A 13337-nucleotide genomic window follows, 5' to 3' on the forward strand; every position below is an offset into this window, starting at 1 on the left:
ATAAAAAAAGTAATTATAATTTTATAATTATAATTTTATAAAATTATAGTAAGGATGTAATTTTTATATTAGAAGAAAACTAAAATGTTGATTTGGATAGCTACAGGGAAAGATGGATAACAAAGATAATTACCCAAATTTTAGGCTGTGTTTAAACAAGAGAAATGCATTATACAAAATTATGCATCCACATGACCTGAGTCTGTCTATAACCATATCTAAGGATTATTCTAAATGCAGATCCTGGCCAGCCACGGTGGCTCACGCCTGTAATCCCAGCACTTTGGGAGGCCGAGGCAGGCGGATCACGAGGTCAGGAGATCAAGACCATCCTGGCTAACATGGTGAAACCCCGTCTCTACTAAAAAACAGAAAAAAATTAGCTGGGCGTGGTGGCAGGCGCCTCTAGTCCCAGCTATGCAGGAGGCTGAGGCAGGAGAATGGTGTGAACCAGGGAGGTGGAGCATGCAGTGAGCCTAGATCGTGCCACTGCACTCTAGCCTGGGTGACAGAGCAAGACTCCATCTCAAAAAAAAAAAAAAAAAAATGCAGATCCTATTGAGGGTTTCCATGGCATGTATCAATTTTAAAATAATACATTTTCGGCCGGGCGCGGTGGCTCACGCCTGTAATCCCAGCACTTTGGGAGGCCAAGGCGGGCGGATCATGAGGTCAGGAGATCGAGACCATCCTGGCTGACACAAGGAAACCCCGTCTCTACTAAAAAAATACAAAAAAATTAGCCTGGCGTGGTGGCGGGCGCCTATAGTCCCAGCTACTTGGGAGGCTAAGGCAGGAGAATGGTGTGAACCCGGGAGGCGGAGGTTGCAGTGAGCTGAGATCATGCCACTGCACTCCAGCCTGGGCGACAGAGTGAGACTCTGTCTCAAAAAATAAAAATAAAAAATAAAAAATAAAATAAAATAAAACAATACATTTTCAGAATAAAGAAACATGATAAAACAGTACTACTAAATTGACTCACCTGCAGGAGATATCTCCTTTTATGAACTTCCTTGATATCTTCATATGCAAAAATGCTGCATGTTCTCTTGAGTTGACTAGGGCCTTGCCTGGCTCCTCTAGGAATAATAGGCTCATGCATACTACAGGCAGCCAAGAGAAAAAGCAAATAAAAACACAGCAAGGGATAAATTCACTGTTCCATAAAGGGCGTGCTAATTTTAAACACATGAACAGGATGGAGGAGTAATATATATCAGAATTTTCAGTTAAAAAATATATTTACAAGAAGAATTTGTTAGCTACCTGAGATACAAGGAACCCCCTTTGATGAATATAATTTTAAAAATCCCCTTATTACTGTCAGGACCAAGTTATCTACCAGACATGGTTAGCACAGTGCCTCAGCTCACATATTTTGGGGCCCAAGAAAATGTCTTAATTTCTTTTAAAAATCAGAAAAAAAATCAACTTTTAGGTAGAAAAACACATTTTAATATAAGATTATATTTATACCATTAGCCACAACATACAATTTTAAATATTTTTGTATGGAAAAAGGACCCACGAAAGACTTCATGTGACCCTGATTGTTGTTGACAGTAATTATTTGAAATATCTCCTAGGAATGAACTACAGAAACAATGTCTGTGTTCAAGGGTGCTAGGAAAATGTTAAAGGAAGAGAAGCAGCCTGTTGATCTTCTAAGCCCTAAGCTTCTTAACTTTCTTCTAGGTTGGTCTGTCTCCTGAGTTTTCCACTACTCACTACCACTTTCATCACAGGACTGGTAGAAGAAAAGGAAGATGCCTACAACTCAGTCAGTAAATCTCTGCTAATGCTTTAGTCATGCTGTTTCTAGGGTGCTCCGAGTACCTGATGATGCTCTTTCATTTTTAAGAGTATTCTTCACGCCTGTAATCCCAACACTTTGGGAGGCCGAGGCGGGCGGATCACAAGGTCAGGAGATTGAGACCATCCTGGCTAACATGGTGAAACTCTGTCTCTACTAAAAATACAAAAAATTAGCCTGGCGTGGTGGCGGGCGCCTGTAGTCCCAGCTACTCGGGAGGCTGAGGCAGGAGAATGGCATGAACCCGGGAGGCGGAGCTTGCAGTGAGCCGAGATTGCGCCACTGCCACTCACTGCACTCCAGCCGGGGTGACAGAGTGAGACACTGTCTCAAAAAAAAAAAAAAAAAAAAAAAAAAGAGTATTTTCTCTACAATTGTATATCTGCTATATTTTTTAAAAGGACCATTTATAAATTCAGAATAAATTTGTAAATATATACATTATAATATAAATAACTCAGAATGCACAGAAATAAATGTTATTTAGCTTTCATCTTGATAAATAAGCCAAACATTTTCATTATTACCTTAAAATAACTGAATATCATCTTTGTGAATATGTAATGATGAATGCACACAAACCGAGAGATAACATTACCTAGAACACAATTTTTTGATTAAAAAAGAAAACTGCAAATACATTTTCTGTCTTCTAAAGATAGCCATACATTATGTCTCTTCATTCATTTACTTACTTTGGAGGTAAGGTTTCAATATCTCTTATTTCCCTGGTTGCTGTCATGGTAAATCCATCAATCACATAAAAATGCTCTTTACCAAAAAGAAGGAGCCCCTCACTGGTATCTAGGCCCTGGACTCGAGCACAGCGGTACATGTGTTGGATCTATAAAGAAGCCCACAAACATTCATTAATATAGGCTTTTTGTAAAGATCAATTTTTGTTAGACTACTACGGCATCCCTAGAGCTAAGCATATTAAATCAGAGTTTAAGCATATTGAGAAGATTAAGCTTAGATTACAGTCTGATTTACATCTGACTAGAGTAAAACTAAACAATTCACTCATACCCATCCACTCATCTGCCAATCCCATCTCTCTCAATATTCCGGGTGTACTTTATGTAGGCCAGGCAAACATGCGCTAGCTTCTAAAAGTCAAGAACATTAGATAAGGCTCCTGCTCTCATGAAGGGAGACAGACACAGCAAACTTGGCAGGAAAGGGAATTGAGGCATACATGTAAGGAGATTAGAATAGGATTGTGTTCTATGTGAGGCAAGATGATACAGAGTGAAAATTGCAGGGCCTGCTAACTCAGGGTAAATTTCCAGTTCTGCCACTTTGTAGACTGGGTCAAGTTTCTTAATTTCTCTGAGCCTCCATGTCTTTTTTTGTAAGTTTCTAATTGGCTTGTTGTGAAAAATAAGTGAGATAATGTACATAATCAGGTTAGGAATTATTGGTTGCTTTCTGTTCCACACAGTTTACCTTCTTTTTCCATCATACCCCCTGGAAATGGAACTGTAGAATTTGTTTCTATTCATTCCCCACCTGGATTCTGCTCCCTGGAGACTACTGTACTATTGCAAAAAGCCAAGCTTGGCAGAAGTTGTATTTTCCTCATAGGAAGGAGCATTGCTAAATCTCTCAAAGTAAGTATTGTTTTCTCCCAAAGGGCAGTATCTAATTCTTTCTAAAAACTCTTTCTTGCTTAAACTTAGTTCAACATGAGTCAAGACAAAAATCAGCAATTAAATCAGAGTCAAACACATGTCAGTTTGAATACACTTCCTGCACTATTAAAGCAACCAGAGCAAAAACTGTACTCATGAGATTAAAAGTTTTAAAAATGAAAGCATTGTAATAGGTTTTCTAAAATATCTAAATATAAGTCAATTTTCATTGCTACATTTGATCAATCCTGATGTACTTTAAAAGTTTCTCTATTGCAGTATATTTTATGCATATACATACATACATACATATATTATATATAAACACATACATATACACACACACACAAAATGTTTATTTCCTAAGTGTATGGCTGGATGAATTTTCAAATGCTAAAAATTTTGTGTGACCAGCATCCAGACCAAGAAACAGAATGCTCCCCAGTTCCTAGAAGCCTCTCTTGTGCTTCCTTCATACCTGGTGTACTTTTATAGTTACATGATCTTTTCTAATGTATTGTCATTCAATATTAATTAGGGCATACATTTGAACGGAACTGTTTTGATTATACTCAAATTTCTAGTGACTACTTCTTAGAGGGTAAGAACTCAAAGGTTATACCAAGATCTAATATAATAGGCAAAAGAACATCCTTTAAAAAGGTGATATTCATGACACATTCAAGTCATTCATTCCCTTGTTTATTAAACCAATCATTCCTTCATTCAAAGGTTTACTGGTTGTCTATTATGCAACTGGACCTGTGTAAGGCAATGAGATAGAGATAAGACACAGTTTGCCTATAAGGAGCTCGACATCTAGGACGAGAAAGAAAGATACTGGAACAAGTAATTATGACATGATAATACAGAGTGATATATATAAGGCATCATGAAAGTATAGAGGAAGGGTATGCAACCAAGCCTGAGTAGCAAAAGAGTCAAAAAAAGCTTCCTATGTTTGAATATTACAAACATCCAGATAAATGGGATTATAACACACAGGATTTATTAGGATAAAGGTTATGCAAGTAAAAGGAAGGGGGCATTTTGGCAGAAAAAAACAATATGAGTGACACGGTTTGCATATGTGTCCCCTCCACATCTCATGTTGAAATGTGATCCCCATTGTTGGAGGTGCGGCCTTATGGGAGGTGTCTGGGTCATGGGGGTGGGCCCTTCATGAATGGCTTGGTGTTGTCCTGGCGGTAATGAGTCCTTACTCTATCAGTTCACACAAGAGCTCCTTTTCTCACTATGTGACAAGCCTATTCCCCCTTCATCTTTTGCCATGAGTTAAAGCTTTCTAAGGCCTCATCAGAAGCCGAGCAGATGCTGGTGCCATGCTTGTACAGCTTGTAGAAGCGTTGAGCCAAACAAACCTGTTTCTTTATAAATTATCCAGCCTCAAGTATTCCTTTATAGCAATGCAACATGGACAACCACAATGAGTAAAGTGCAGAGTGGAAAAAAAAACACAACATGGTGGGTGTAATGAACTCCAAGGTGTACCAGGCTGCAGGGGCTCAGGCTACAAGACAGAGTCAGTGGAATGAGACCAGAGAGGTCAGCAGGGTATTGGAGGTTGAGCAAGAAATAGGAAGGTGATGTCTTCTGTGAGTGAAGGAGAGCAGGGGCTAAATAATCCAAGGCTGGAGGTGACAGTCCAGATTGGCTGAAGCCGCTTGTAGGTTATTACTGGAATTATGGAGATGTAGAAAAAAATACAAGGCCAGATTACTGAATAGGCTGTCTACATGGATTTGAAATAGAGAATTATGGCAAGATCTGTGGTATAGAGGAAGAAAGAATTAGATGCCAGTTGTTAACACTGTATCTGATAAAATCTTATGCTGTTTAATGTTTCAGGGTATGAGAAAACCCTTACAGATGAGAAAAGTAGAGTACTGAACCCAAAAGGCTGCTTAAGCTGTATTTTATTACCGAGGCTAATGCATTTACTTTCCACAGCTACCCTATCAACTCATCTTGTCTTAATAATATGTTACTGAAGTATTTACAATCCTTACTTTTCAGAAGCACAATACCTTTTCTCCTTCCTCTAACAGGCGCAGTAAGGTAGCATTATCTGTTTTCTCCTCCTCTTCTATGGAGCTGCCCTCAGCAATCTGGTCTTGTAGCTGCTCCTGGTTCTCCTCATCTCCTCCATCAGGTGCAGATCGGGAGCGTTTTAGAGGAGGCTTGACCAAACCTACAGTATAATAACCAAGAGGGCCATGTGGCATTGTAAGGACCTTGTGGGGAAGCAGTTTAGTCTCATGTAGTTCCTTCTATAGATTTCCAATTTGAGACAATTTTGGAAGGTATAGGGAGGTAGCACATTCAGTGGTTAAGAACATAGTCCTCTGGAGTTAATGACCTTGGAAAATTATTCAACTTTCTGAACCTTAGTTTCTTATCTATAAAACTGGGACAAGAGCCAGGTGTGGGCAACACAGCAAGATTCTGTCTTAAAACAACAACAACAACAACAACAACAAAAAACATGGTACAAGTACACTATCTTAGAGGATTGTTGGAGGACTAAATTAGGTAACTCATGTAAAGTGCTTAGCATTATGCTTAATGCATAATAAATTCTCAATAGTGTCAGGTAATGATGATAACAGAAAGCTATAATAGTAAGAATGGTATAGCTTAGGTAGGTGTCATTAAGGGGACACCATGAATAAATAATCAATGATTGTCACAAAAATAAAGACAGCAAATTATAAACATGATTACGACTGGGTGCAGTAGCTCACACCTATAATCCCAGCACTTTGGGAGGCCAAGGGGAGCAGATCACCTGAGGTCAGGAGTTTGAGACTAGCCTGGGCAACATGGCAAAACCCCGTCTCTACTAAAAATACAAAAATTAGCTGGGTGTGGTGGTGCATGCCTGTAGTCCCAGCTACTCAGGAGGCTGAGGTGGAGAATCGCTTGAACCTGGGAGGCACAGGTTGCAGTGAGCTGAGATCACGCCACTGCACTCCAGCCTGGGTGACACAGCAAGACTCTGTCTCAAAAAAAGTAAAAAATAAACATGATTACAAGATATCCCACCTACTTGGAGGGCTCTTGAAGACTATTTCATGCCTCATTTCACAAGTGGCAGTATGGCTTTTCATACATGAATTAATTTGATCAAAATACCAGGTCAGAAAGAACAGAATTCTTTATAATACAAGGACATATAATGTAATTTGCAGATTAAGGAAACATTTTACTACCTACATTTTGACAACTTTTTAATAATCACAGTACGATAATTTAAAATCAGTTGACAGTAACCAGTGAGGACCCAAAGTATGAGAAGTCCTTAAAATGCATGCCAAATCACACATTTTGATTAAATTAATATTCTTTGTGCCATCCAAAGTAACACTATACCTGCCTGTTACAGTTGCTCTAAGCACTTTGGAAAAGCACAAGTCAGCCTGAGTCTTATCCTTTGAATATTACTTATCAGAGGTTCTGCTTTGCCTTGAGAAGAGCCTTGTTTTCATATTTGAACAAGTGTAATAAGTAAGCAAGAGAGATCAAATCCTGCAGAGAACATCCACAAGGGGTGGAAAGCTTACAGCTGCTTTATTTTTAGCTTAATGAATCAAAACCTCCATTTCTATGTCTAGCATAATACCCTGTATATTTGCGCTTTTAGCTCAATTAGAGATTAGGAAAATCAGGCCAGAGAAGTTAAAAGCCAATGACCTAAACACAAATAATCTATCAAACTCTGTGAATTATACCTTGGCTTGTATCCAGCAACAGCTTTGGACCCAATTCAATAACTATGCTGGTGCAATGTCAACAAAATTAGAAGGCTTTAATCTCTGTTCAACTACGAACAGTTTCAGTGATTTCATGAAAATGTTGGATCAATTATAAAATGTTTAGTAAGTCATAGTCATCACATGAGAGAACAGGTATGTCATAACAACAGGAGAAACTGATCACAATCTCAATAGTGTTTTTTGTTGACACAGTCATATACTATCAGTTTTTAAAACAATCTGAAACTCATTTTTAATTTATTAACTCATTAAAACTTATTTTTAATTTATTAGTTTTTAATTTTAAAACTAACTTTTACTTAAAATCTTAATTTACACTTTAGGGCTTTATAGACTATGCAAAGACTTTTGAATTTGTGGTGAATCAGAGGCTTACAAAGATTAAAACAATGGATTGATTTACTTACTCAGTTGAACTGATTGAATCCTCATTCTGTGCTAGTCATGTGTCAAAATTTATAAAGTGAGAAAAAAAATCTGTCTTTGAGAAAAACTCATAAATTAGAAAGTGGAAACATACAGCAGTGAAAAAATCACTGAAACTGCTATAACAGACATGAGCGAAGTATTATCAGTGAACAGAGGAGTTGGAGAAGACTTTAGAGAAGGATGATTTTATATATGACCAGTGAGTTTAAGACTGAGTAGGATGTGTTAAGGTAGGGATAATGGAGAAGCTGTAGAAAAGAAGAAACCATTTCAGGCTCAAGGCACCACATGTAAAAGTACAGAATCCGAAAGTCTATGGACATTGTAGTCCAATTCATCATCTACTCAGCTCCTAAAGTTTAGATCTGGGATAATCTCTCTCAACTCATAGGAAGAAAGACCATTATTCCTTACTATTGGCTAATATGCACTAATGACAGGTTTAGTTTTAATTTCATAAATATTTATTTAGTTATTAAGCCCTTAAAATATCAAGTGCCAAGGCACATGTTCTCAATACCTCCTGATGCTGTGTCATGAAAAAATACATATGTGTATTAAAAAAACTAAATATCAAGTGCCACTGAGAATTCTGAGAAATACAATTAAAAAACCATTAAGCCAATGGGCACGTGATATTCATTTGTAGGCAATAAACAAGAGCAAGTCTTTTTAGTTCTGACAAAGAAATCAATCTTTAAGAAGGGTGAGATGGTAAAATGTGTATGGATATTTTTAAAGTTGGCCCTACTATTTATAGTTGCTCAAATTTTTGTATGAATTCAAATACAAGAATGTTCCAAAATCACTTTTAATCAAAATCAAAAAGGCAGGCTGACCTTTGACTTTAGCAATAGTGTCTTCCCCATGCTCTGGTTCTTGCTGAGCAGCTTCACCTTCTGAACTCTCCACAATGGCGTCTTGGACAATGGCGGGATTGCCAGAGGCCAGTCGCATGTAGTACTCTTTACTGTCATAACTTACGGCTCTTCTATATCGAGCAGGTTTCTAAGAAATGACAAAAGAAAATGACTCCGATAACTATCACCAAGAATTAAAACGTAATATTCTTGAGGGAAGGTATGGTGTCAAGGTGTGTTACCTTTTTAAAGGGGCTTTTCATAGACTGTATGTATATACAGTAAATCCACACTTTTGGGTTAAGTTTCTCTATTTTAAAATTCTATTGATTTTTTAAAAGACATACATAAAACAACAATATTAGCAGCTTTGTTCTTCCTGAAATAATCTCTAGCCAAAAAATGTTTCTGTGTTAGTGCAGTGTGTCTTCTTTGGTGTATGAGAAAACCTCCCCATCCGGTAAAGAGAATGATCACTGTTGAAGAGCATCAAGCTGCAAACAGCCTGTCTAGTCTGTGAGGAGCCTGGAACTTCACTTCCACCCCAAGTGAAGTAATTAGGTCAGGCCTAAAGGTCCACACACTCAGAATAATCGGTGTGAGTGTGTAGTTCAAATACTTGGAGGTAGAGACTCAACTGGCCTATTCTTTCCTATATTCCCAGGTTTCACTGAGAATGGCCAAAATCTTCTTCAGATCCTTCTGAGAGTCCTGACCCAAAAAGGAATCAAGAAGTTTTATGCCAGGTGACACTCTGGTTAGCTTGCCACTGCAAGCTGCTATCTCCAATTTGCTCATTCTCATTGTCTGTTGTGTAAAGGAATATGATCCATAACTAACTCAACTAAATGAGTATTTGATATACTCATTCTTAATGAACATACAGCAGTCCATTCTGAAGAAGAAATTAATTACCTAGAAACATAAGGATTTGATGTTTTAGAACATGATACATGAACATTTCTTTTCCTGATTAGCCTTTATTCTCAAAACAGGTTCTCCAACTGACTTAAATTGTTTTCCCCTTAAAATCACGGAAGATGAGAAACTAAGATCTAAAATATCCTATAAAATATCAGACAGAGGGAAAAGTTTGTATGTATATAGGTTCCTCGGATCGGAATTAGACCCAGACTATGGATTAATAATTTTAAAAAGATGAAATCTGAAACATGCTTTAAAACCTTCCCCTTCTAAATATGACTTTACTTTCCTATAAACAAGAATATATAATTTTAAAAATTTTACTACCCGTCTACTCTTCAAACTCAAATAATCAATATGCATCATTTACAACAATGCCCTTTTCAAGCAACATTTTTTTTAAGTGATTTCCAACTAAAGTGGAAAACAAGTGTCCTTTGGGTGAGACATGTAGAATGAGATACTGAACCAAATTTTAGATAAAAAGATAACTAAGTCAAGCCACATTAACCTTCTTTAACTTCAGGTACAGAGCAAGGAAATAAAGAGAGTTGCCAGTGAACTGAGGAATGATATACAGCAAATGGAGACTGAAAATATTACTTGACATAGCAAAGTATTAAAATGATGTACAATATTACAATTTGGAGGAACTGATGGGTAAACAAACAAGAACACTGCACTATTTTTGAAACTGAAAGGAAGGTCGTAGATTTTGTACCATAAAAATTCTTTTATGTGAGGTATTTTCAACTCAAAATTGCTAATATTTAAAAAGATAAAAGCATAGTTAGTGATGGGCAAGACAATGAATTAATAGATGAGGGACAGCATCTACTTGATTACTGACTTCATGTACAGATTTAAAATTGACCTAAAAGAATTTTTTTCTAAATATTTTGATGTACATTTCTGTGTTCTAAAAAACTACATTTTTTATTAAATTATGTACTTTCATCTTTCTGGAATACAAAAACGATAATTAACTTTTCTACTAATTAAAATAAATTTGTATTTTAAAAAGTGATCACACACTCTTTGTTTCCATTCGTTCTGATTGAAAAAAATAATTTTAAAAGAGGAGACACTGTTGCATTCTCAAAATATACACTTTAGTATTTAGAAGAATTAAATGAGTCACTGAAAAGTTGAAGATGCCAGGCTGCCCATTACTAACATGCCTCATAATTTGTTAGTTTATGTGTGAAGCAAAAGATGTTTTTATAGTGAGAGCAGTGAAAACTCAGTCTGTTAGTGAGTGGCATATAAATCCTAAAAAGAGATAATTAGAAAAAGCTGAGCAACAGTAGAACAACATCTCTCAGCCTGAATGAAACCAACGGTTCAACTCTAAGGAACTTATAGGAAGAACAAATTGAAAGCCAATCTTTTAAGTTAGTCTAGTCTACCATGCACTTAAAAAAAAAACCAGAAAACAAAAAACAAAACTACAAGTAGTTTACATTCTTTTACTGTAATTTGTGTTTTACCTTTTGAGGAATATCATCGGGTGTCTCAGGCTGTTTACTTGGGATCTCAGACTGAAAACAGGGTATTAAGTATAGACATATCAGAAAAAAAAACATAAAGAGGAACACAAAAATAAAATTTTTCTTGAGGATTGTATGAAATATGAAAGATGTAGTTACTCAAACAAAATTAACATGATAGCCTAAGCAGCTTAAATAATCACTAAGCATCTTGTGGTTACTGTCTCACAGATCAAAAGCAGTTTTAAGTAAAGCTTAAATACGGCAAACGTCTCAGTGCTACTGAACAGGACAAACTCTTACAAATCACACAGGCAAAACTTCAGCACAGGCTGCCATTGACTTGGATGATTTACAGGCAACTCTTTACATTGTTTAAAAAAAAAAACAAAAAACAAAAAACCTGAAATCAGGATAATAGAACCTAATGCTAGCTAGTATCTTCCATCTTCCTTTCCCTGGGGTTATCCCTAAATCTGTGTTGTAACAGGGGCAAACGGCTGATTTAAGCTATCATTTACAATACTCCATACCACAGACATCATTCTCTTTAAGAATCCTCCCTTAAAAGCATAAGGATCTACTTCCTTCACTACCTTTACCATCCCAGAAAGGGTGAAAGCAGAGGGTAGACTGGATCATCAGCCCCCAGATCAGAAGCTTTTCTAGAGTACTTTTAAAAGAATTAGGTAATGGCTTTATATTTTATTTTCAGAATAAAATCCTGGTTAATAAGAAGGCAATTCTGTTGAGCTGTAGCATGTGGCTTCATGTAAGCACACAGGTAGCTACAGACAATAATGCAACCAAAAACCACTTCCGAATTTCCTTCCTGTTCATGGTTTATATCTGGTGATGACTTCTGGTACCTTTCCCTATAGTAAACATGAGCAGGCAAAATGTTTTCACAAATGTTTGCTTACCAAGGCAAAACCATGGCCCACTAGGCATACTTACAAATACTTCACATGGTTTTAGTGATTCTTTCTTTTTAAAAGCAAACTTGTAAAGGTATATCTTATATTGAAAAATAATATTTAACATCTAATCAATGTTCTTTATCTTGGTAGGGATTTAGAAGATAAAAGTATAATGTATATATTTGTTAAAACTCACTGACTAGACCATAATAAAATAAAAGTATTTTAATGGCAAAAACAGATCAGGAAATCCAACATTAAAAAAAGAAAGAAAAAAAAATCACTGAACAGTACACTTAAGATTTGTATATTTCAATGTATATAAAATTTCCTTCAGGAAAAAAAGAATTGTAAACAAATACTGAACTCATAATATGCATATGAAAGTGAAGAAAACGGATTCTTCAACCTGCTCTGAAATTCATAAAACAAAACAAAACAAAACAAACAAACAAAAACAAGATAGGACCAGGAGCGGTGGCTCACACCTATAATCCCAGCACTTTGGGAGGCCGAGGTGGGTGGATTGCTTGAGCTCAGGAGTTCAAGACCAGCCTGGGCAACATAGCAAACCCCCCATCTCTACCAAAAAATCCAAAAACAGCCTGGCATAGTGGTGCATGACTGTAATTCCAGCTGCTTGGAAGGCTGAAGCGAGAGGATTACTTGAGCCCAGGAGGTCCAGGCTGCAGTGAGCCAAGATCACCACTGCACTCCAGCCTGGGCAACAGAGCGATAACTTGTCTTAAAACAAATGAATAAAAAAATAAGATAGACTGTTGGATAGATATGCAACAAATAAGTACAACAAAACAGACCAATTACTAATGTCACACCTAACTGTGACATTCACTATATATACTCCCAGCCAGGATGTAGGCAGGGTCTACTAAGTATACCCTTATATTTTTCCTGGTACCATATGATACAGTGTTGATTTAATACATATTTGCTCACTGATTGATTAACCGGTTCTTATTTTACTAAAAGGCCCAGCACTCAATAGTAAATATGTTATACCAATAATTTTAGCATTATTTTGGCTTCCTTTTATTTAAAAAAGCATTAAATTATTACTATAATTCTTTACCTAGAAACCTGCATTTTTCAAAGTCAGAATTTCTAGCAAATAATGTTATAGTCCTTTTACTTCAAATTTTTCTATAATGCTGGCAATGAAATTTCCTAAATGAGCTGCTTAGTTTCTGTGAGTCTTGTGACATTTATACATTATATAAAAATATATACTGAGGCAGCCACAAGAAACTCTCCTAGTTAGAAAAGGAACCTAAAAGTTGACTAGCTTCCTGCCCAAGTAACCCCAAATTAATAGGCAGACAAACTCTTCACTGTAATGAACTTTGCAAATAATAGTAAATGTGTTTGAGATTATTATTCTTTAAAAATAAGGGAATTATAGAATTAAAGCCTAGTTAATATTTAAATATAATTTTTTTTTAAATGGCA

At 36.4% G+C, this 13337-nt stretch overlaps 1 protein-coding gene across 27 annotated transcripts in view; it reads right to left on the reverse strand.

Moving 5' to 3' along the window:
• Positions 1 to 13337, reverse strand: part of WDFY3 (WD repeat and FYVE domain containing 3) — a 297094-nt gene that overhangs the window by 46314 nt on the left and 237443 nt on the right. For 22 of the 27 annotated variants that reach the window (XM_011531759.3, XM_047449858.1, XM_011531763.4 and 19 more), the window contains 5 exons: positions 10951 to 11001; positions 8516 to 8684; positions 5499 to 5662; positions 2512 to 2660; positions 986 to 1106 (listed from right to left, as the gene is read on the reverse strand). In XM_011531759.3, the coding sequence (XP_011530061.1) occupies positions 986 to 1106; positions 2512 to 2660; positions 5499 to 5662; positions 8516 to 8684; positions 10951 to 11001 (654 nt within the window). The remainder of the gene's footprint in view (positions 1 to 985; positions 1107 to 2511; positions 2661 to 5498; positions 5663 to 8515; positions 8685 to 10950; positions 11002 to 13337) is intronic. The other 5 variants (XM_047449859.1, XM_047449854.1, XM_047449856.1 and 2 more) reach the window with 1 other exon arrangement.

This window comes from Homo sapiens, chromosome 4, assembly GCF_000001405.40.
Source record: "Homo sapiens chromosome 4, GRCh38.p14 Primary Assembly".
Classification (NCBI taxonomy): domain Eukaryota; kingdom Metazoa; phylum Chordata; class Mammalia; order Primates; family Hominidae; genus Homo; species Homo sapiens.